The sequence below is a fragment of the Homo sapiens genome, chromosome X (assembly GCF_000001405.40).
Source record: "Homo sapiens chromosome X, GRCh38.p14 Primary Assembly".
In the NCBI taxonomy this organism is placed as follows: domain Eukaryota; kingdom Metazoa; phylum Chordata; class Mammalia; order Primates; family Hominidae; genus Homo; species Homo sapiens.
Window position 1 is genome coordinate 150,642,510 of NC_000023.11, and position 25,385 is coordinate 150,667,894.

The following is a 25,385-nucleotide window of genomic DNA, read 5'->3' on the forward strand; positions in this document are numbered from 1 at the left end:
TAAATTGTACTTGAAAGTATGTTCTTTAGCTCATGTTGTTAGAACATGATGCTAATGAAGCTAGGGTTACAAGTTCAGTCTTCCTGTGCTCTGTTTGGACATGCTCTTCTGTACCATAGCCACAGACTACACCCCTACCCTGGCTGGCTGTCTGTCTTGCTAATGCATGCCTTGCTCACAAGGACAACTGGGCTAGGGTAGCCTGGCTCAGTTTTGTTCATGTATTCATTCAGTTCATATTTATTGAGCATCTACCGTGTCATTTGTGTATGTGGGTGAATTCTATGGGATTTGAAACAGAGAAAATTGAACAACTGTGCCCTTTCTACCATGCTTGGTTGCCATCTTGATCCAGTAGTCCCCATTATTCTGAATGAATGAGTGTCTACTGTAGAGCAGATAGAATTTCTTAACTTTTTATTTAGTCATGTTATTGATCCTTCTTACTTTATCATGGCCACCAATTTGTATTTATTTTTTCTAAAATGGCTTTTATAGGGAAGACTAAGTTCCCCATCACCTCTACATATTTATAGATTTACTATTAGGTACTATTAAGCGTGGTAATATGTTCTTTGCAGTATGCTTTCTAACCACCCGGCTGTTGGCTAAGTCTCAGAGCTTTGCTTCCACCCAGAAAACATATGTGCCTTTAATGTGAAATCATTAATATCTGATAGTTGGTTCTTTTTATAAAACCTCATGTAAAAATACAAAAGGAAGTGACATGAAAGAGATCTTATTTTGCATGTAAATAAGATATAAACTATAATAAAATATTGCTGGGTAGAGAAATAATCAATGTGCATTAAATGTTTCCATTAATGGATATGTATTCTCTTATTCTCAAACAGATTTCTCTTAATTTTATGAGTCTTTAATGTATGAGTAATGCACGTTCATTTTAAGCATTATAAAAAATACTGATAAGCAAAAAGGAGTCTGCCACCTAGTGAGAACCAGTGTTAACACTGTTGGTATATATCCTTTCAGACTTCCTTCTAAGCATATATCTACACACACACACACATATGTATATATATTTGAAAAAAGTGAAATTATTCTATAATTTGTGTCTCAGTCTATAGAAATTATTCTATAATTTGTGTCTTTATCTAGCAATATCTTGTAAACAACTTCCCATGTTGCTAAATATGATCCGCTCATATGCCAGTGTGTAGATGTACCATGATTTAATCAGTTTTCCATTGTGAGACATTCAGCTTCTGCTTAATCTTTTGCTATTGTAAGTAATGCTGTAATAAACATCTTTCAGTGGTTAGATATTTGTGTACTTAATTATCTATGGCTTCTAGATATGAATTTTAATAAGAATAATACAGTGCCATATACTGTAAAAGCACTCATGGTAGTTGACACTGTGAAATGAACATTATTTGTACCTGTTTAGCTCTGTAATAAGCATCCTTTTCAAAAAGTAGTAAGAATCCCCCCTCCTGCAAAGAAATTAAGAGGAGAAACAACTCAGAGGAGTAGCATTTCCTAACATGGCACCACAAAGAGAATAGGGGTCGGGAGGCCATTGCCTATGGCCCGACTGAAATTTACAACTTGATGAGGGTCTTTCTCAATAATAAATAATTTTTATTTTTAATAATTTCTCAAATTATTAAAATAATAAAAAATATTAAAAAATATTTTAATAATTTCTCAAATAATAAATCTTTTAAATGTGTAGCAAATTGCTCCTTTAAAGTGGTCTCATGTCTCTTGTCTCTCTTGATACCAGGGCCATAGAGGGAAAGGAAGGCAGATCTCATATGTGCTGTGCATTATAGATTGGAAGGTGGAGGTTTAGGTCCCACTGGTACCTTCTCCAAGGCTCCCAGTTCTGAGCCTTTGGACTCTTATTAGGCAGGGGCTACAATGGTGTTTTTAATTGATCTCTAGCATGGTGCAAGGACCATATTTGTTCTGAGAATGAATAAATATTACTGTATAATCTTTTCTCAATAACCTGTTGTCATTATAAACACTCATTTTTATAAACATCAATGTTTGTCATTTGCCATCATGGGGTAGGTAACTTCAGAGACATCAGGGAATTTGGTGTTATGTTGAGTGAGCCCACATGATTAAGCTTCTTTCGTTCTTTGTATCTGCATTTTGTAGTTTTTGCTAACTGACTTTCCTGGCTGCTGGGCCTGCCTCTATAAGCTAACACGAGCCAGTGTTTATTGCAGACTTTCTGGGCATTCTTCTTCAGGCCACCGAGCAACCCTATGAGATTATATTATTCTCCCCATTTTATGGAAGAGGAAAGGGAAGCCAGAGAAGCTGCGAGTGAAATGCCTGAGGTTAGAACCACGGCAGAGATGGCACTAGACCCCAAAGTCCACATTGTCGCCCACTGTGCTGCAGTTCTCCAGCTTCCCATTTTTAATAGCTTTATTGAGATCTACTTCACATACCAAACAATTTCCCATCTCAAGTGTACAATTCTGTCGTTTTTGGTATATTACATTATTAGCTACCTTTTACGTGTATTACTTTTCACATGCTATGAGCTTGGCAACCAGGGAGCAAATGTGCTAGACTTGTGTATAAAGTTAGAGAAGATAGGTTCTGAATCAGGGCTTGATGAGGTCTCCTAGGCATTGGATGTCCACACTGCACTGTGGAGACGAGCAGATCTATGCTCTTTGGGCTGTCCTGAGATCAGTTTTGCTCTGCTCAGGTTTTCTTCCTTCCTGTGTTAGATTCTAGAATTGAGACTGTTGGGAAAATGATCTGTAGACAGAGTTGGTATTATGAGAAACATATTGTACCAGAGACAATTTCCTTTACCTCTCACTTTTTGCCAAAGCTGCTTCTATATGATAACAAATCCAGTGCAAGCTACATAATTAAAATAGGATCAAGCTTTCAATTTCCTTTAAGTGATATAACTATTTTTAGGTAAGCAATTAATTTATATTGGATGTGGTGCTAATTAAGAAAAGACTGGTAATTGTACTTGTTTCTGAGTTATATTATTAAATGCATGTCTCTGGGCACACACACGCAGTGAGATTGCAAGTGAACAAGTATTCTATTTTAGCACAATCAGATTCACTTCTTGATAACCGTCAGTGCTTTACTGTTTTACAGTTTTAATTGTTTGCTTGGAGATTTGCTTTCTTGATAGCTTAAACTTTCTGACTTAACCATAGGTGCTGTCATGGATTCATCCAGAAAATAAGACGGTCATTGTGCGTTGCAGTCAGCCTCTTGTCGGTATGAGTGGGAAACGAAATAAAGATGATGAGAAATATCTCGATGTTATCAGGGAGACTAATAAACAAATTTCTAAACTCACCATTTATGATGCAAGACCCAGCGTAAATGCAGTGGCCAACAAGGTGAGTGGACTTAATGATGTGCTGGACACTTAGCTTACATATGGAGTGCAGTGTTTTCTGTGAATGTTTTTGCCATGATATAGAAACACGTGGGTTTAAATTAATAGTTAAGAAAACCAGTTCTCTTAGACAGAAAGTAGTTTTAATCACAAAACTTAAACAAAATTGAATATATCAAAATCAAATGCAAATAAACTTTAGGTAAATAGGCATGTCTAGACTGTAATGAAATTGGGTTTTGGCCAGGACCTTGGCAGGAAAAAGTTAGATTCTCTTTAAAGCCCTTTCAGCTGTGGATGATCACTCATTGTGTACACTATTGGGGCATCTGTAAGAAGCTATGGGAAGCTGTAATTATTAAAATACTAAATTTGCATGCTTACTCAAACACTCCCTCCCCCATACCCGTATATACTCACATATGTGTATTCTCATTTACATAAGATAATTCAAGAAATGAGTAGGTCCACGTATGTGAGTTTTCCAGGCACAAACATATACACAAAGTTGACCGTTTTCAAAGAAGTCTGTCTCAATTGACTTTTTGCTGTAAGCAGAATATGCTGAATGCACTTAAAATTGATTAGGGTCATCATGAACATCAGTGACTGCATAGTGTTGCCTTCAGAAGCTGCTGCAAGGTGTATGGCTGTTTGCTTGCTCTACTAAATGGCCCCAGATTGATGTGCATTTTACGTTCTATTTCTCCTTTTTGTTGTTTTTCTTTTCCTTCTCCTCCCATCATTGCTGTCACTTTCAAATGCTCACGAGGGGCCTGCCCCAAATTGCTCACTCCCATTCCAGCTTTCAGATTTATTGTTTCTCCTCTGCTGTAAGCTTAAATTTCATCATATTTAATACATTGCTTATCCTGAGGTTATTTGTCTAGCATCTTCAATTATTCAGAACATAAGACAAGAACCAGAAAGCAAAACAAGTTCTTGAGCAGCTCAGATAGGTGCAGCAGCTTCCTAATAGAATCTGTGATATCTGTCTGGACTAGGATGTGTCAGACTGCATGCATGCAGAGCTCAACTCTTCATTATTTGTGCACAGATCTTCTGTCCTACACATTTAATCCTGGGCCACCTCCCCATCCCCATGCATGCTTTTAAACCAGCTATTTGTTACTACGGTTGTTTTTTGGTCCAGAGATGATTTTGAAATTATATGTGAAGCAGTCAGTAAGTTAAATTGACAAGTAAATTAGGAATCGTAAGTGAAACACTCAGGAAATTAAATCTAACTCTAAATATCTTCTTGGATTGTCCTTAATTTTATATATCTGTGTACCTATTATCTTTCATATATATTTCAGGGTGAATATATATATATATATATATATATATAGCAATATTTTCATGTACATATTTAGCCTGAAATAGATATGATATAGCATTACAATGAAGTATTTACAAAGAATATTTTAGAATATTAAAATGCATGAAATGGATACACTAATTAAAGCTCATTCCAGCAACAGAATTCCTGAAGGCCTTTTTAACACTCAGGAAACAAGCTTCTATTTCTAGTCCTCTTAGGAGTCGAGGGAAGGAAAATATCAGGGAAAAAGCCTAAGCTTTACAGATCTCTGTCATTCTTTTAAAAAGCTCACTTGTTTCTCCCTTCCTCTGCTGTGTCTCTCCGCTAGTCGCTAATATCCATAGCAACAGGCCCGTAGACCTTTACATCATCGTCCTAGGTAATCTACATTGTTCTTTTTTGTTGAAGAAAGGAAAACCAAAAAGAATACTTCAAAAGTAACCAGAGATGTAGAATTTGAACTTTCAGGAACTCAGTGTGTGCTTGACTAATTGATTGTTGCCCTTTCTGACCTTCTGTTCTCCTTGGACCTAATTGTTCCTCCCTTACGGATATTTAGAAATTTACATCCCCAGATGCAACAAGCAACGGCACATCATTTTAAATTAAACAAAATCCAAGGATTGGTAAGATCTAGCAGCAAGCCGCTTCTATTTTTGTGGCGGTACATCGTGATGAATTAATGTGGAACTGTGCTAATGTCTGTTTTTACCAGAAACATTAGCGATGAGTAATAAAGTATATTTTTCCTTTTATTTTTTCACTTATTTTCAGTTATTTATGAAGAGAACTCTAGTTTCAAGAATCTCTTTGAAAATCACCATAACTATTTAAAAACCACATGTGTAGAGAAGCAGGAAGAGGAGAAAGTGGCCCACTTAAATAATAAATTGCTTATTTATTAGCTAATAACTTTTTTAAAACAACACTGTGAATGTTTACTGTCTACTTACCAGTGATACTATTTAGAGCACGCTCTAAAGAAATATTTCTGCCTAACTATATTTTCTTGCCTAGAGTCTTTAGAGACCAAGATCTCTGGCTTTTAACATAGGTCTCCAAGTTTGAAACCTAAATGGATGGTAGCCTTACTTCTGCAGGAAACCTTTTTCTGTGACTACCTCCAGGAAAAAACAAAAACAAAAAACAAAAAAAAACCTAAGTTTCTTTGGCCCTTCTATCCATGGCTACAAGCTTATATTCCTTCCATTGTTGTTAATAAAGAGAAAATAGGCATATTGTAGCTATGGCACATTTGTCTGGTGACTTCTCCTTTCCTCTTCAGCCCCAGGCAGATGTTTCCCTGTTCTGTTCCTACAGGCACTCTGGAGTTAGTATAATATTGTTTTCTTTGCAAGTCTCAGAACTGTTTAACTTTTTCTTAAAGGGCCAAAGGCCACGTGTTCTATGCCATTTCAAAACGTTTAAGCAGAATGCAGCCAGATTCCTAAATGAAACCATAGCATCTCTTTTTGTCAGTGTGGAAAATGGGCACTCTTCACCATGCTGTGAAGATGAACCAAAGCCTGCCCTGGCAAGTTAATACTTGTAGTTGCTGCAGTAGGCGGTAGCCATCTTGTCTCCTCTTGAAATCTTCTATTCTTTCAGAGCTCACTATGTGCAGTGCTCTCTCATTGGTGTTTGCATAGCAGAGAAATAGTCATGGTTTAGTAGAAAAAGTTCGAGCTTTGAAGCCAGACTTAGACTTAAATTCCACTTATTACCTATGTGACTTAGGGGATAGTTAACTAGCGTCTCTGAGTTTCTGTTTTCTCATTGGCAAAATGGGGACAGTAATACCTATCTTGCAGCACTGCTGAAGAGAGAAAATTATGTAAAGCAAGAGTCACAGTACCTGGGATGTCATAGGAGTTCATTAAACAGTGGCTGGCATTAGCTATTATAATAGAGTGTGGTTCCTTTAATAGTATGAGACCTAGGTAATATTATCCCCTATTTTACAGGAGAGGATGTTGAGGCTCAGAAATGTTAAGTGCCTTGTCCCAGATCACATGGCAAGGAGAAGCTGAAGCTGAGCTATCTCAGCCTGGGTCTGTCTCCAAAGCCTGTTGTTTTCCTCTAATGCATCACGTCCTACGTGAGTGCTGTTACAGTGCCAGAGGTGCCTGCTGCTGCCTCAGTCTGGCTGCCTCCCGCCTTCCCCCTGAAGAGTACTATTAGAGATACAAAACTAATGGAGAACGAGGACCTTTCACAACCTGCTTTTGCCTTTCCAGATCCGGAAGAAGAGCTATTAATTATAGAGCATTTTGAGGATGATTTTTTTCCTTAGGAATACAGATTCCCCAGGAAATTGCCAGCCTTCTGTCTTTTTTTCAACTCAAAGTATGACTAATGTTTTTGAGACTTGTTGTTGGCTAGGAAGTCAAGTCACATCAATTATTCATTTAAATTGGAGGGTTTGGGGTTATTTGGAGGACAAATAACTAGAAATATTTGTGTAAGTTTCTGATGAAATAGAAAACTCAACTGATTGTTTGTATTTCATGTTGTTTCTTAGGCAACAGGAGGAGGATATGAAAGTGATGATGCATATCATAACGCCGAACTTTTCTTCTTAGACATTCATAATATTCATGTTATGCGGGAATCTTTAAAAAAAGTGAAGGACATTGTTTATCCTAATGTAGAAGAATCTCATTGGTTGTCCAGTTTGGAGTCTACTCATTGGTTAGAACATATCAAGGCAAGTATATTTTGTGAAAATATTTGTGTATATAAAAAAGAATGTAATTGTTTAGTGGAATGGACATATTTTTAAATTCCTTAAAAAAATGGACATTGAGAGATAAACTTTGTAGTAGAGGACCACATTTAACAGTTTTATGTTGCTTTATAATTTGCTTACCTAAATTAAAGATTTCACATCATCACTCCAGAATATATTTAGAGTTTGCAAAGACATCTCTTTCCATCTTTCAGTATTAAGTCGTTCAGTCTTTCATGCAGGTTTATTTAGGAATAGCCAATTTATTATCTAACCATTACTGGATATGACCTCTTTGGACCTAGATAAGAGGTGGTTAGTTTTGTTTTTTTTGTTGTTTTTTGTTTTTTTTTGTTTTTTGAAACTAATCTCAAATGACTTATTTTAAAGAATTGGTTTTGTGTTTTATTATGTTCAATCCTTTATCCTGATAAAGGCAGCAATAATCCTCCACTTTTTAAAAAGTACTTGAAGTGATCTGAGGGAACTAACACTTTTAGAAACCATTTAGTTCTGTACACAAACAAAAAGTCAGCTTTAATGTATAGGTGAATTATTAAGATATATTCTCTAGTCAAATTTTGTTTTCCAACTTACCCTTCATCTGCAAGTGGTGGCATGCTCTTCTCAGCTAGCGAGGCTCACCCTCTTGGTGTCATCCTACATTTCTTTAGCTCCTGCACTGAGCTAATCATCAAGTACCACAGGCCCTTCCTTGGAAACATGTCTGTCACTCTCATAGTCCCCTCACCCCCACACTGGCAGCATTCAAACTAGGCCATTACTACCCCTATCTTTGCACTCTTAAAATGGTTCTGTTTTCTCTTCCTTCCCTCTCGTATCTATTCTATAAGCAGCTGACAGAACATTTTCCTAAAATATCCTGCTATTCCAAAACCTCTGGGGGCTCCCAACAGCCTAACCTGACAGCCACACCCCTGTTCATCTGGCTTCTGCAGGTTTGTAGATTAACCTGCAACTACAGAAATCCTTACTCTTCCTAATTCCATCTCACTTATGCCTGTTTCTGGGCCTTTGTCTAGGTTGTCCTCTTTCTCTAGAATGGATTCCCCCATCCTTCCACTTTCTTCAAGGACCAGATCAAATCCCACCGAATCTCAAAGGGAATGTTCCTTCCACTGACTTTGCTATACATTATGTCTCTTTTTACACATACCTATCATCTCTTCAATCATATGTGAACCTCCTTAAAGTCTTATACCATTTTCCCATTCACAAGGTCTAACATAAAAACCAAAATAAAACTTTTTATTTTACAATAGTTTTCAATTTACAGAAAAATTGTAAAAGTGCTATAGAAAGTTCCCATATACCCAACCGAGTTTTTCTTCTTATTGACGTCTTACACTGCTCATAACTATGGCATGTCACATTGTACAGTATACTAGTCACAACTAATGAGCCAATATTTATACATTATTAACTTATTATTAATAAAGTTCATACTTTATTTGGATTTCCTTAGCTTTTACCTAATGTCCTTTTTCTGTTTAAGGATCCCATCCAGGTATCACATTATATTTAGTTGTCACAATTAGGTTGTTTTTTTTTTTTTTTTTTTTAACAATTCATTGGTGAGGATGACAAATTCATAAAAAAATGAAAGGCAAAATAAAAATAAGATTTGATTGGGACCTTGGTCAAGAGAAACACCATGCATTTGGGGTAGTGATGGGCCGTCCACCTGGTGGTGTCTAGCAGGCAGGCTTTCTGCAAAGTAGAACCCAAAATAGAGACTTAACACAGAGATGTTGGTTTGGCAGTCAGCTATTGGGCAACAAACGCAAGCAAAGCCCTTTAATGTAGATTCTGAGAGAGGATGTGTGGGGAAAAGATCAGAGGACTTTGAGTGGAGCTTTGGGCCTGTTTGTATTCAGGGCAGGAGGTGAGAAGTGGAGCTCAGTGAAGGAGGCATACCAGAGAAATGGACATCAAAGGAGGATATTGGAAGGTAAAGAAAGGGTCTTAAGAAGAAAGGGTCAGTGGTACTTGAAGGAGGTTTATTAGCGAGGTCCTTTATGACCTTGGGGGTGTCTAGTGATGTGGTGGGTGTGAGTGAGAAAATAGAGGTAATGAATATCAACTGTTCTTTTAATAAGAGAGAGAGTTAAGGAAGGGGGAAGTGTTGAGGATCATATGACTATGAGAAGGGCTTTTCAAGTCATGGGAAGCTTCAGCCTGTTTTGTAGACAAAGAGAAAAGATTTACTTCAGGAATTTTTTTAAGGGAAATAATCACACAGGTCTGAAAATATGAATATACTAGAATGCTTATGATAGTGGAAAAACAGAGCCAGCATGGTGGCTCATGCCTGTAGTCCCAGTGCTTTGGGAGGTCAAAGTGGGAGGATCGCTTGAGCCCAGGAGTTTGAGACCACCCTGGGCAACGTAGTGAGACCCTGCTTCTTACAAAAAACTCAGACAAACAAACAAAAAGACAAAAAATAGTTGTAGTTGTGCACAACTGTAGTCCCAGCTACTCAGGAGGCAGAGGCAGGAAGATTGTTTGAGCCCAGGAATTTTCAGGCTGCAGTGACCTATTAATATGATTGTACCACTGCATTCCAGCCTGGGTGACAGAACAAGGCCCCATCTCTTTAAAAAAAAAGTGGAAAAGCATTGGAAAGAACCTAAATGTACAAGAAAAGTTATATATATATACATATATATATACATATATATACATATATATACGTGTGTGTGTGTATATATATATACACACACACACACACACACACACACACACACACACATACATACAGAATTTAGAAAGGTATCCACCAATATGTGAATAATTATTATTTCTGAGTAATAGGGCTATGTTTTCTCCATTTTTTTCCAGGGAATATATATTTTCTAAATAAGAAGAAAAGCTTTTTTTTAAAAGAGAGAGCACAGGTACAGGAGTTATTGGCAAGGTGGCTCAGCTGCTACTCTGAGCTAGATAGAAGGAAGAGAGACTGGGTGAGAGTAGGTCTTGTTCAATGGCTCAGATGTCTGAGGAAGTTAGGAGGTAAGGCCATCTGCAAAAGATGAAGTATGGAAGTTAGCACTTAAGGAATGTGGGAAATGTTTTAAGAGACCTCTCTAAGGTTTTATAGTTTTGTCTATAGCAAAGGGGATATGAAAGAAATGAAAGAAACTGTCATTGTTCTGTACAGAAGCCAAAGGAGTTACCAGGAGACTGGGGAGTCTAGGTGGACACTTGTAATGATATCTGACTCAGGGCTTCTCAGGCATCAGTCACATCATAGCAATTCAGACAGTGAAGCAGAGTTGTGGATAGCCTTGAGTTGGACCTTGAATACTGGTTGGAACGAGGGGAAATCCATTCCCCGCCTCTTCCAGCTTCTTGTAGGCATATCATTCCATCCTCTGCCTCTGTGGTCACATTGCCTTCCCCTCTTCTGTCTGTATGAAATCTCCCTCTGCCTCTCTCTTATCAGGATTTGTGTGATGTAATTTAGGGCCCACCTGGATAATCCGGAATAATCTGTCTTCTCAAAATCACTAAGTTGATCACATCTGCAAAGTCCCTATTACCATGTGAGGTAGTATACACAGGTTCCAGGGATTAGGACGTGGACATCTTTGGTGACCATTATTCAGCCTTCTATACTATCTTATAGCCCTGGGTCTGCTGACAGGTGGCATGGCCATCACTAACCTGTAATCTGGTGAAATGGTGTCACCATTCAATGTATGAAAGCGGGGCAAGCCTTTTGCAATGAGAAAATCACCATCCTTAGCATGCCTCTCAAATCATCATTCCAGTTCACTGACAGCCCCAGCAGGGTGGAAGAAGGACTCTGTAGTGTCTGGAGCTTGTATTTCCTCTTTGTCCTTTTCAATACAATACTCTTCCCCTATAGTCCTGCTTCTTTTAAAGTATCATATTGTTTTGGCCTTCTTGGATGGCAGCTAGCCCTCATTGAGCCTATGCTCAATGTGAGCACTTTATGGGGAGCATCTTTTAGTCCAAGACAAGCTAGTGGGGACATGGCTCATTTCTTCACAGTAGAGAGAGAGAAACCATGGTTACTCAATTGGCCCAAAGCACGAGATATCAAAAGTGGAATGAGGTTTCAGGCCCAGGTCTTCTGCCATAGAGCCAGTGCTCTTAACTACCGTGATGTATACTGCTTGATGGCTGTCATTTCTTTCATCAGTCACAAGTCCATCAGATTATTTAAGTGTTTTTAAAACTCTGGTATAGTTTTATTAGATAATTATAGCTGTTTCTGTCAGAAGTGATCGTGGGAATTAATACTTAATTGGAACACAGCTAACATTTTTGAAAATAATTGGCTGAGATTGAGTCCTTTTTATATTATAAGTGAGGGAAGTATCTCGAGTGAGAGTTGCCCTCTGTAAAAATGCATTAGAACCCCAACTTCATTAAATTGGACTCAAGTGATCTAGTATATTACCATTGCTTCTCAACAGCCCTTTCTTCAGAAGTACTTCAAATGAAAATTGTAAACAGGATTTCAAGGAGAATACTTAAAATGCTTGAAGAAATAAACGGCTCTAGTCATTTTAGGAGTAATGGATTTTGTACAACTAATTGATGTACATCCTTAGGTCCCTTAACCTTTCCTTCTTGGCACTACTTTATCCACTTATCTTTAGTTACATTGTATATGTAAAACTAATGAAGTTACATTTCTTTATTTTTATTTTTGTAGATTCAAGGGGTAAATGTACAGGTATGTCACATAGATATTGCATAGTAAGGTTTGGGCTTCTAGTTTACCCATCACCCGAATAGTGAGCATGGTATCCAGTAGGTAATTTTTCAACCCTAATACATCAGATCTTTCACTTGGTCTGCCTTTTCTGTGAATTAGTTAAAATAAGCGAATTTCCATTTCCTTGAATTGGGTAAAATGACTATAATACATGTCTGTTGCATGGCTGTTAGAATTTGGAAGCTCCGTGGAAGAAATCTTTTAAAAACCAACCCAAAATTACATAATATATACAAATTGTTGATACGCATGTGAAAAGATGGAACTCTCATACATTGTTTCTGGGAATGTGAAATGGTACAACCACTTTTGAAAATAGTTTGGCAGTTTCTTTAAAAAATTAAACATATGGCCAGGCACAGTGGCTCACACGTGTAATCCCAGCACTTTGGGAGGCCGAGGCGGGAGGATCACGAGGTCAGGAGATCGAGACCATCCTGGCTAACACGATGAAACCCCATCTCTACTAAAAAATACAAAAATTAGCTGGGCGTGGTGGCGGGTGCCTGTAGTCCCAGCTACTCGGGAGGCTGAGGCAGGAGAATGGTGTGAACCCAGGAGGCGGAGCTTGTAGTGAGCTGAGATCCCGCCACTGCACTCCAGCCTGGGCGAAAGAGCGAGACTCTGTCTCAAAAAAAAAAAAAAAAAAATTAAACATATATTCACCATTTGATCCAACCGTTTCACTCCAAGATATTTTACCCGAGAGAAATAAAAACACTGTGTCCCTTCAAAAAATGTGTATGCAAAAGTTCATGCCAGCACTATTCATAGTAACCAAATGCTAGAAACAACCAAATGTCTATCAGTTGATGAATGGATAAATAACGTGGTCTATCTATATACAATGGAAGGTTATGTGACCATGAGAAGGAATGAAGTACTGATTCGTGCTACAACACAAATGAACCTTGAAAACATGATGCTAAGTGAAAGAAGCCAATCACAAAAGGCCACCTATTGCATTATCCTATTTATGTAAAATTTCTAGTAAAGGCAAACTATAGAGACAGGAAGCAAATCAGTAGTTGCCTGGGGCTCAAGGTGGGAGAAAGATTGACCTTAGATGGCACAAGTAAACTTTTTGGGTGATGCAGGTGTTCTACAACTACATTATGGTGATAATTGCACAACTGTATAAATTTGCTAAATCTTATTGCACTCACACTCAGGATGGGTATATTCCATTGTTTATAAAGTATGTTTCTGTAAATGCATGAATCATCAAAAAATGACATCATAGCAATAACTTGTTATATACATAAATTTATTGATACTTCTAAGTCTCAAATTTTTACTAGAATACTTTCACTTTAAGTACCCTACTGATTATGAGCCAGATAAGAGTTGATATATTGCCAATTTAAAGGTCAAAAGGTGGATTTCACTGTATCAGACTTTTACAGTCTAGACGCGACCTGTTGGGTCAGTGATTTTTTTTTTAATCTGATCACAGTTATGGATTGAATTTTTGTCCTGCAAAAATTTATATGTTGAAGTCCTGACCCCCTGTACCTCAGAGCGTGACCCTATTTGAAAAGAAGGTCTTTGCAGACATGTTTAGTTGAAATGAAACTGTACTGGAGTAGTGTGGGCTCTTACTTTGTTATGACTAGTGCCCTTATAAAAAGAAATTTGGACACAGACACACACACACAGTGAGACTGCCATGTGAAGATTGGCTGCCCCAAGCCAAGGAACGACCAGAGGCTAGAAGAGTGACCTGGAAAAGATCTTTAGTGGTGAGCATGGCACTGCCAGCACTGTGATCTCAAACTTCTAGCCTCCAGAACTGTGAGACAATATATTTTTGTTGTTTAAGCCTCATAGTTTCTGGTACTTTATGACAGCCCTAGCACACTATCGCAATCACATCCATGAAAATAAGTTTGAGATGCAGTTTGGCTTTTGGTTTGTTTCAGTTTGTTTTTTAACACCTGGGCACATTCAAATGCAGTGTCTGCAGCAAAAGTAACTATCATCAGAGTGAACAGGCAACCTACAGAATGGGAGAAAATTTTTGCAATCTACCCATCTGACAAAGGGCTATATCCAGAATCTACAAAGAACTCAAACAAATTTACAAGAAAAAAACAACCCCATCAACATGTGGGCGAAGGATATGAAGAGACACTTCTCAAAAGAAGACATTTACGCAGCCAGCAGACACATGAAAAACTGCTCATCATCACTGGCCATCAGAGAAATGCAAATCAAAACCACAATGAGATACCATCTCACACCAGTTAGAATGGCGATCATTAAAAAGTCAGGAAACAACAGGTGCTGGAGAGGATGTGGAGAAATAAGAACACTTTTACACTGTTGGTGGGACTGTAAACTAGTTCAACCATTGTGGAAGACAGTGTGGCGATTCCTCAGGGATCTAGAACTAGAAATACCATTTGACCCAGCCATCCCATTACTGGGTATATACCCAAAGGATTATAAATCATGCTGCTATAAAGACACATGCACACGTATGTTTATTGCGGCACTATTCACAATAGCAAAGACTTGAAACCAACCCAAATGTCCATCAATGATAGACTGGATTAAGGAAATGTGGCACATATACACCATGGAATACTATGCAGCCATAAAACAGGATGAGTTCATGTCCTTTGTAGGGACATGGATGAAGCTGGAAACCATCATTCTCAGCAAACTGTCGCAAGGACAAAAAACCCAAACACCGCATGTTCTCACTCATAGGTGGGAATTGAACAATGAGAACATTTGGACACAGGAAGGGGAACATCACACACCAGGGCCTGTTGTGGGGTGGGGGGAGGGATAGCATTAGGAGATATACCTAATGCTAAATGACGAGTTAATGGGTGCAGCACACCAACATGGCACATGTATACATATGTAACAAACCTGCACGTTGTGTACATGCACCCTAGAACTTAAAGTATAATTTAAAAAAAAAAGAAGAAAAGAAAACAAATGCAGCGTCTGTAGAGGACGATCAACAGATCCTGCAGCTCTTAGTGTTTCCTTTTGATAAATCTTTGTTCTGGACGTTAATATTTTAAAGCATGGCTTTTTCTAAGTTTAAAAACTATCAAATGTAAGCAGTATCTTATAACTCCCTACTGACTCACGTATTTTTCTTTGTCAGCTCGTTTTGACAGGAGCCATTCAAGTAGCAGACAAAGTTTCTTCAGGGAAGAGTTCAGTGCTTGTGCATTGCAGTGACGGATGGGACAGGACTGCTCAGCTGACATCCTTGGCCATGCTGATGTTGGATAGCTTCTATAGGAGCATTGAAGGGTTCGAAATACTGGTACAAAAAGAATGGATAAGTTTTGGACATAAATTTGCATCTGTGAGTAAACAAAGCTAATTTCTAAAAATAGATCACTACCATTCAGGATTTTAAAACTAGTTGTTAAATTACATATTCAGTATTACAATGAAAATCTGAGGAGTGTAATAAAAACTTTACGCGTTTGAAAATGCATGATGCCTTGGGTAGTGAAAGTCTTTTTAAGAGATATGTTTATCCATCTGCACTGTTTGCAGTTTCACTTGAAAGCAATACAAAGAATCTTCATAGAAATGTTTACATTGAAATTTCATAAGAGAAGGAAGACAGACAATTCTTTCTCAAATAATATAGCTATTAGAGTCAAATATATTTTATAGACTTTTAGTTGAGGCTTTTTATTTCTGATATGCATTTTAAAAATCATCGAGAGATGAATAAGTTCAAAAGAGCTATTGTATAACATGATGACTGTAGTTAATATATTTTTGAACAATGTTAAAAGAATGGATGTAAAGTTTTCTTACCACAAAAATGGTAACTATGAGGTAATGTGTATGCTACACATTAAACAGACAGTCAATATATATAAATTTCTCTCTCAATTAAAAATAAATAAAAATTTTTTAAAATAACCCCCCCAAGAAAATTTTTTTAATGAAATCATCAAAAGAACATACTAAAATTCATATTCCTAGGTCTTATTTCCAGATGCCCTCTGAATATACATTTTGACCCAGCTCCCCAGTGATTCTCATGAAGGGGATCTGTAGGCTACCCTTTCAGAAACACTGCTATGTATCCTTTTAGCCTTCACCCAGGTTTCATAGTGTGAATAACATTTTCAAGTAGAAAGAATCATTGTGTTTTTTTGCTTGTTTGTTTGTTTGTTTGTTTGTTTTTGAGATGGAGTTTCGCCCTTATTGCCCAAGCTGGAGCGCAATGGCGTGATCTCGGCTCACTACAACCTCCACCTCTTGGGTTCAAGCGATTCTTCTGCCTCAGCCTCCCAAGTAGCTGGGATTACAGGCATGCACCACCATGCCCAGCTAATTTTTTGTATTTTTAGTAGAAATGGCGTTTCACCATGTTAGCCAGGCTGGTCTCAAACTCTTGACCTCGTGATCCGCCCACCTCAGCCTCCCAAAATGCTGGGATTACAGGCATGAGCCACCACACCCAGCCATAGAAAGAATCATTGTTTAGTAAATGAATACATTGTGAGATTTTTTGGTTTTGTCTTGTTTTTAAGAGAGAAAGAACATTTAATTCTAATCATCATACCTTTTGGACATGATTTTAAGTCTTGAAACTTTAGGATTGTTTTCTTCGCGACTGAAAGAACTAGGTTGAGTGTATTGCTAACATACTATGTAGGATAATCATGCCCATTCTATCCATAGCTGTTCAGGACTTGTACAAAATTCTGATTATATGAAATAATTGTAATAATCACCTAGGATGATGATTCTTTGGCAATTTTTATTGGTATTTTACAGACATTTATATACTTAATTTCCATTATTTTGAAACCTTACATTGCCTATATTGCCATGGAAGTATATATTATTTCCTCTCTGAGAAACTTGGCATTTAGAAGGCACATTGCTGAATTGTATTGTCACATTTTGTGTTATATGCTTTCTCAGTTTTGTACCCATTAATTAAAACAAATTATCTTCATCAATTTATTCAGCGAATAGGTCATGGTGATAAAAACCACACCGATGCTGACCGTTCTCCTATTTTTCTCCAGTTTATTGATTGTGTGTGGCAAATGTCAAAACAGGTAAGGAATATGAGGGATGAAAATACATTCAACTCATTGTTTAAATTAAACATTTTAATATAATGATTGGGATTTGACCCCAAAATAATACAGGGTAGAGCTAGAGATGAAGCAAGACTGGGCATGTGTGAATACTTGCAGAAGCCAGGTACATGAGCGTTCACCTTTTTATTCCTGCTACTATTGATATATCTGGGATTTTCCCTAATAAAGTTTTAAAAATTAAGTATTTAACTCTGATGTCTCTACTAGTGGAATTGACAATACCAAGTCGTCGTTTATATACATTTTACACTGACCCTTATATATAGCTGTGTCTGCTATCTCATAATAGCTTAAATAACTAAACTACACTGTACCTGCAGGAGAACCCAGAAAATCAGCCTGTTTATCTCATTTTCCTCTTTATTGCTTTATTTAACACTTAAAGTGCTCAGACCTATATAAACTGCTAAAAAAAGAACAACTGTAGTGTGTGTGCAGATTACAGCCTCTGCTGTCCTTCCTAGAGCCCTACAATGTGGCAGCATTTGTTTACTTCTACAGTGTATCTTTCTAATTTTATAAAGTTTCAGTCCCAGTTTTTCATGCTTTGTTTGCTTGTTTTTGTTTAGTTCCCTACAGCTTTTGAATTCAATGAACAATTTTTGATTATAATTTTGGATCATCTGTATAGTTGCCGATTTGGTACTTTCTTATTCAACTGTGAATCTGCTCGAGAAAGACAGGTGAGTTAAAATGCTATTTTTTTTGATACATTAGGCTTGCCAAAATGTATGTAGTCTACCATGAAATATAAAAAATATGATAGCTTGTAAGACACTGTCTTTGACCTCAAAGAGTAGGAATTACATTAAAGGTATGCATTTTGTGTTATATAAAGGAATACCTGAGGCTGGGTAACTTACAAAGAAAAGAGGTTTAATTAGCTCACAGTTCTGCAGGCTGTACAAGGAGCATAGTGCCGGCATCTGCTTAGTTTCTGGTGAGAGCCTCAGGCTGCTTCCACTCATGGCAGAAGGTGAAGGGGAGCCAGTGTGTAGAGATCATATGGTGGAAGAGGAAGCAAGAGAGAGGGGAGAGGGTGCCAGGCTCTTTGTAACAACTCAGCTGTCTTGGTAACTAATATAGAGTGACAACAAACACCTAAGAGAGAGCATTAATCTGTTCATGAGGGACCTGTCCTCATGACCCAAACACCTCCCACTAGGTCCCACCTCCAAAATTGGGGATCAGATTTCTTTTTCTTTATTTTTTTGTTTGTTTGTTGTTGTTGTTGTTGTTTGAGACAGGGTTTCACTGTCGCCCAGGCTGGAGTACAGTGGCACAATCTTGGCTCACTGCAACCTCTGCCTTCCTGGCTTAAGCAAGATTCTCCCACCTCAGCCTCCTGAGTAGGTGGGACCACAGGTGCACACCACCACAGCTAGCTAATTTTTGTAGTTTTAGTAGTGATGGGGTTTTGCCATGTTACCTGGGCTGGTCTCGAACTCCTGAGCTCAAGTGATCCACCCGCCTCACCCTCCCAAAGTGCTGGGATTGCAGGTGTGAACCACTGCGCCCAGCCTGGCGATCAGATTTCAACATGAGGTTTGGAGAGAACAAATATTCAAACTATGACAGAGGTTCCCCCAAAAGTAAAAATATAGCTACCATACGATCCAGCACTCCCACTATTGGGTACATATCTAAAGGAAATGAAATCATCATGTCAAAGAGGTTATCTGCAATCTCATGTATATTGCAGCAGTATTCACAGTAGCCAAGATATGGACTCAACCTGTGTCCATCAACAGATGAATAAAGAAAACGTAGTACCTATATACAGTAGACTACTACTCAGCCATAAAAAATGAAATCCTACCATTTGCAACAACATAAGTAAATCTGGAGGACATTATGCTAAGCGAAATAAACCAGGCACAGAAAGACAAATACCACATGATTTCCCTTATGTGTGGAATCTAAGAAAACTTGAACCTATAGTAACAGAGAGTAGAAGGGTAGTTACCAGGGGCTGGGGAAGGGGTAAGGGAAAGAGGAACATAGTGGTCAAAAGATACAAACCTTCAGTTATAAGTACTAAAGACCTAATGTGCAGTATGGTAATTATAGTTAATAATAATGTATATTTGAAATTTGCTAAAATAATAGATCTCAAGTGTTCTCACTGCAAAAAAAATTGGTAACTATATGAGGTGACAGATGTTAATTAGCTTGATTGAGGTGATTATTTCATAATGTATACATATATCAAAATATCACATCGTATACCTTAAATATATACAGTTTTTATTTGTCAGTTGTAAATAATACTGGGGGAAAAACACAATTGTTTCTGGGAAAAGAGGTGAGAGAGAGCACTTTTTTTCATAACCTTGTCAAACTATTTGACTTTTTAAACTATGTGCATATATAAAAATAAAAAGAGTAACATGCAAATAAATACAATGTGGTATATAGATTTTGGCATCAAAAAGGTACAACTGAGGTTTTAGGTGGATTCAGAGAAAGGCAAAATTATGCTGTCGTTATTCATGAAATGAAATACATATGTTTAAGACATTTCTTTTATTTTTCTTTTGAGATGGAGTTTCGCTCTTGTCACCCAGGCTGGAGTGCTGTGGCGCGATCACGGCTCACTGCAACCTCTGCCCCCCAGGTTCAAGCAATTCTCCTGCCTCAGCCTCCCAAGTAGCTGGGACTACAGGCGCCTGCCACCACTCCCAGCTAATTTTTGTATTTTTGGTAGAGACGGGGCTTCACCATGTTGGCCAGGCTGGTCTCAAACTCCTGACCTCAGGTGATCCGCCTGCCTCAGCCTCCCAAAGTGCTGCAATTACAGGCGTGAGCCACCACACCCGGCCACGAAATTTCTTTAGTCACTTATTTTGGGATGTTCTTTTTGGTTTCCAGTTTTAGCTTATTGCTCTTTTCTTATTAAAGTCATTACTAGGAAAAGTTTCAGATTCTACCTTTGGTAATTTTAATTCTTGTATTTTTATTTCCCTAGCTTTGATGTTTTTTTTTTTTCTTCCTCTCTCTAGTTTATGGTCAAAATTTTGTAAACGCCTGCAATAAAAAGCAATGAAAATGTGAATATCTTTATGAGATGGCAACACTAGGCTGAAAAGCTTAGACTTCGTGTAGTCAGTTATCCAGATGTTTTCAAAGATATGGATGTTGACATGATGTAGATTAAACATCTGGATGGTTGATTAAAATAACTGTGTCCAGATGCCTACTGTCAAGTAGACACAGATTAAGATTTCATAGTTCCAACAAATGGAAAAGTTTTAAAAGTCATTGGGATCTTAGGATAATTTTTCTTTTCACTGAATTAAAAAGAGTATACCACCCATCTGTTCATAAATGTTTTACCTAGCTGGGAATACTCTTCTTTGGTCAGTGAATTGCATTTAATGGTACAGTATCCTGCGCCCCTGTCTTCAGGCAGAAATAGTGGCTCTCAAGCTAGGCCATTACCTATGCAAATATCGATAAGTGGCTGCCAAGCACTCACTGGCCCATGAGGCTTTTTGAGCTATTATGAGGATAATGTAAATGTGTGATTCAATTTGATGCTGAACTGTATTGCTACAGGCTGCAAAATGGTTTGTGGATTTATGTGTGTTTTTACTTAGGCTCTCCACTTTCTCTCTCTGTCTCTCTGTAGAAGGTTACAGAAAGGACTGTTTCTTTATGGTCACTGATAAACAGTAATAAAGAAAAATTCAAAAACCCCTTCTATACTAAAGAAATCAATCGAGTTTTATATCCAGTTGCCAGTATGCGTCACTTGGAACTCTGGGTGAATTACTACATTAGATGGAACCCCAGGATCAAGCAACAAGTAAGTGAAGTAGCACTGTTAAAAGATAGCAATGTCAACTGCTTGCCTTAGATAATGTTATTTGGTATGGATTTTTTTTAACAGCATGAAGAAAAATATCAGACTCTAAAAACACACTTATTGTTAAACTCAACCTTAATTTAAATTTTTTTTAATTACTAAACCATGTGTTTTGATGTTAAGCTGCAATTCTTCTGCCAATGTGATATAATTGTTTACTATAATGCAAGCTGATTTAAAGCTCTAGAAAATTTGAGTTTTCATAGCCAGAGATTTCCTTTGATCACTTGAAGTAGTTATTCATTATATAGACATTGTTTGAAAATTCTTTACATTGACTAGACTTAGATGATCCTGTTAAGAAAATGTTTGCTACTCTCATTCAGGTGTATGCACTAGATCAGCTAACATCAGATTGCTTTTCACTGAGGGTATTTACTTCTAAAATAAAGATAATTACTCTGTCAATGGTAGTAAATTCAGTTGGCCATTTATCAAACAAAAATGGAAACAATGAGTTTGAAGTGAAAGACTCTACATTTTGTTAAAGACACACTTGGGCTTTCCATTCTCCCACCTCCACTCCATCCATAATCAGAAGGAAAAACAGCCTGCAGTACTTCAGTTTATTGATTTGTTCTAAGCATTATAAATATTCAGTATTTGTGATGGTTCTTTGTAAAGGTTTGCACATTTTCCTGCAGTGTGGGTGGTCGACTACCTGTTCTCACAGTTCAGTCTTGCATAAGCACCAGCTTTAATGCCAGAAATAGGCTGGCCACAGCAGGGTCCCATAGCTGTGGCCTCTCTCTCAGATTGTTCATTCCTCTCAGGCAGTTGGCTGCATGCCAGTCTGTGCCCTACCTCCTCACTGGAGAAGTGCCCATTTCAAGCTGGCACCCTCATTTCAAGGTCTGTGCTACTCACGTGAAAGGCTTTTGCAATTTGGTAATGGTTGAAATGTGTATTCTTTTGGAAAGTGACAGATTCCAGGGCTTGAGAACATTCACTTGTTTAGTTTGGAATTTGAGAAGCACATGGGAGGAATTTATTTAACAGTAGTTCTAGCATTTTGGAATATCAAGTAAAGAATAAATAATAATCCTTACAGAATTCTAACTGCTTTTACAAGAGATGTGTTCCTTATTAAAAAATGTTTTTATAGATGAGCACTGTGTTTGTCCTATAAAATAAGCCTTTTCCATATTTGTCATGGCTTGTTTTTAAAATATTGGCAATGAGAAAGTACGGACAGTTTTTGTGTAAGTCCTGTAATCTCTTCTCACCCATTTGTACTTGGAGAAATTCTTGAAATTCAAGGAATTTGGAGCAGTTCATTTCTGAATTCCTAAAGGTAATAATGATAATTGTGTGACAGGTCAAGTTTGAGGGTACATCATTAGAAGAACTTCTTAGAATGTATTTATCCCCCTTAGTCTCACAGATCTTGGCAAAATGGAACTGGCCTGGAGAGGAGTGCTCATTCTCTGGTAGGGGTTTTTACTTCGAGACAGGAATTGGCCTATATTATGATCTATTGGCATGAATTCAGAAAAGAAATAACTTATCCTTTCTATGTGGATTTTCTGAATATGAAGGATCCTACACACATCTTTATCTCCCTAGGCACTTTGTGTTTTCATCTACCAAATATTGAATGTTCTCATGCGTCAGGCACTAGGGGGATGCAGAGATTAAGAAGAAATGGTCTCCGCCCATGAGTAGCTCCCAAGCTGGTAGGGGCGGCCAGAAACATAAGCCAATGGTTATAATGCACAGGGATAAGTGTAAGAATAAAAGTATGAATTAAGTACATTAGGTTTGCTTAAAGATCTGCTTATGTAGAACATTATTTCATACAGAAATAGATTAAATCGCATAGGACTTTTAAAAGTACATAATATAAACCTAAAAGAATGTACTTAACCACTTAAAAGTTAAATTGTTATTCAGTTGTGTGAGCCAGAAGGTATTCAAACAATTACTGGCCACCTGTAGTATTCACAGCACTATGGTGGTATACTATCAATGTTGAAAGATACAAAAGAATATACAGCCTCATAATGAGCTGTTAGCCTCAAAGAAGGCAGGATTAGTGTGCTTTTAAAAGCAAAAGCCACCAACCCTTGCTGACATAAAATCTCAGCAGAGTTTATGGAAAGACCAATGCTTACATTTGAAAAGCTATCAATAAGCAGATCTGGTACTTTTATTTAATACAAGGAAATTACTCATGTCAAAAGCATAGTCATATTACAAACCTGAGTAGGAATTTTGGCTGCCAGTGACCATCATACGGTACTCTAGGAACCACTGCATTCCATGTAGCTGTTAATCAGGGTTACACTGGATGTACTGAAATTTTATATAGTGGTAACTGAAGGATGAGATTCAGGACAAATATTAGCAGGTTGACCTGTGTGGCATTTGTTTCAGTCATTTTTGATAGAAAAATTTAAAGGGATATGAATATGAAAATTGTTTGAAGCCTACAATACTTCCATAATGAGCTGATTGCCTATCTTCTTTTCCATGCCAAGCTGAGACATACTTTATAATTCATTTCCCAAGTGAGAAGTTGAGGTATAATATTTTGTCACTTGGCTTGAAGTTTTCATTTCTTGTTGTCTTTGTATTCTATCACAAATGGACTCTTCTCTTCTTTTACCTGCTCTAAGTGGTTTGTGTTTGTCTGTAGCCCAATAACTTCTATATATTTTATACCCATTACTTGACTGAATTATCTTTTTATTTCTAACAGTTTTTCTGTTTACTCTTTTCAGTTTTCTGATGATACAGTCATGCCATCTGCAAAAATTACTGTTACCCGATTTCTTTTTCTTATCTAATTGCACATGCTCATTGTAATATTCAAGCTGATTCTAAATTCTAATACTCATATTTCAAAGGGAGGTTTTAAAAATAGCCACAGTTTTGGAGGAGAATATCAAGGAAGAACCTGCCCTGCTATATAGCAAGACTTATTTGGAACAGAGTAGAGCCCAGAAACAGACCTGCGTCAATGTGGAGACTTGGAATAGTAAGAAGGTGGCAATGTAACACATCCCTATGAGTGGAATGTTCAGTAAATGGTGCTGGGACTGGAAATGAAAGTTAACATGTCAAAACAGAACTCCTCATGTTTCCCCCAAAACCTCCTCCTCCTGCCATCTTCCCCATTTCAGTTCGTGGTAGCGCCAGCCTAGTCGCCCTGGTCAGGAACCTTAGAGTCATCCTTGACACCTTTCTCTCCCACACCCCATGTCCAATCAATCTGTCAGGAGAGCTTCTTGGGCTCTGCCTTCAAAACACAGCTAGAGTCCAAGCACTTCTCACTGAGCTCCCACCACCATGCTGGTGTGTGCTGCCTGCCATCTCCCGTGTGTGGCAGCGATAACCTTCTAGCTGGACCCCCTGATGCTACCTTTACTTCTTTCTACTCTTCTCAGCATGGCAGCCAAAGCAGATCATGCCACTCGCCTGCTAGAAACTGGCCAGGTAGCTGCTCACCTCACCCAGAGTCAAGGCGCAAGTCCTTACAATGGTCTCTGAAACCTCGTGTGACTGCCACCCCACCCCTTACCTCTGTGACCTCCTGGCATCCTCACCAACAACCTTTCTCACATGCTCAGCTTCAGCCAGACTGGCCTCTGCTCTTCTTCAGGCACTCAGGTATCCACTTGACGCCCTCCTTCATCTCCCTTAAGTCTTTCCCCAAAAGTCACCTCTTCAGTGCAGCTCACTCTGACCATCCAGTTTAGAGTGGAATCCTGTTACCCTGCTCTAGTCTTCTGTAGAATTGATCACCTTCAAACATTCTGTGAAACTCCCAGGATCGTTATGTTCGTTGTTTGTCCGTCTCCCCCTGCTAGAAGATAAAGGCCATAAAAATAGGTATTTGGGCCTCCTTTGTTCACTGCTGGATCCTGAGCACCTAGAACAGTGTCTGGCCCTCAGTTGAATTTTAAGAGAAAAATGGGCAAAGGATATTAGCAAGCATCCCACAGCACTTACTGGGTGTTAGGCATTCTACCAAGCGTAATGCTATATATGCATTTTTGAAAAGCTTCCACTGCCAGGCCACACACTAAAAGTCACAGTGATCATAGGGAGAATGGGATTAAGAGGCTTCTGCAATCCTATGGGCCTTTGTAACCAGAGCACTAATGAAAGCAGCAATCGCAGTAGAAATGTGGGCACGGTTCCATGTCTGCTGCATTTGTACCTGGCTTTAGCTGATTCACGCCTTGGCTGCCTGTAGTGGGTAGAATGGTGTGTCCCCCAA

At 38.1% G+C, this 25,385-nt stretch overlaps 1 protein-coding gene across 15 annotated transcripts in view; it reads left to right on the forward strand.

Moving 5' to 3' along the window:
• MTM1 (myotubularin 1) overlaps positions 1-25,385 on the forward strand; it is a 110,491-nt gene that overhangs the window by 79,857 nt on the left and 5,249 nt on the right. For all 15 annotated transcript variants that reach the window (XM_047442132.1, XM_011531172.2, XM_047442133.1 and 12 more), the window contains 6 exons: positions 3,174-3,362; positions 7,207-7,392; positions 15,312-15,518; positions 17,155-17,247; positions 17,862-17,975; positions 20,924-21,100. In XM_047442132.1, the coding sequence (XP_047298088.1) occupies positions 3,174-3,362; positions 7,207-7,392; positions 15,312-15,518; positions 17,155-17,247; positions 17,862-17,975; positions 20,924-21,100 (966 nt within the window). The remainder of the gene's footprint in view (positions 1-3,173; positions 3,363-7,206; positions 7,393-15,311; positions 15,519-17,154; positions 17,248-17,861; positions 17,976-20,923; positions 21,101-25,385) is intronic.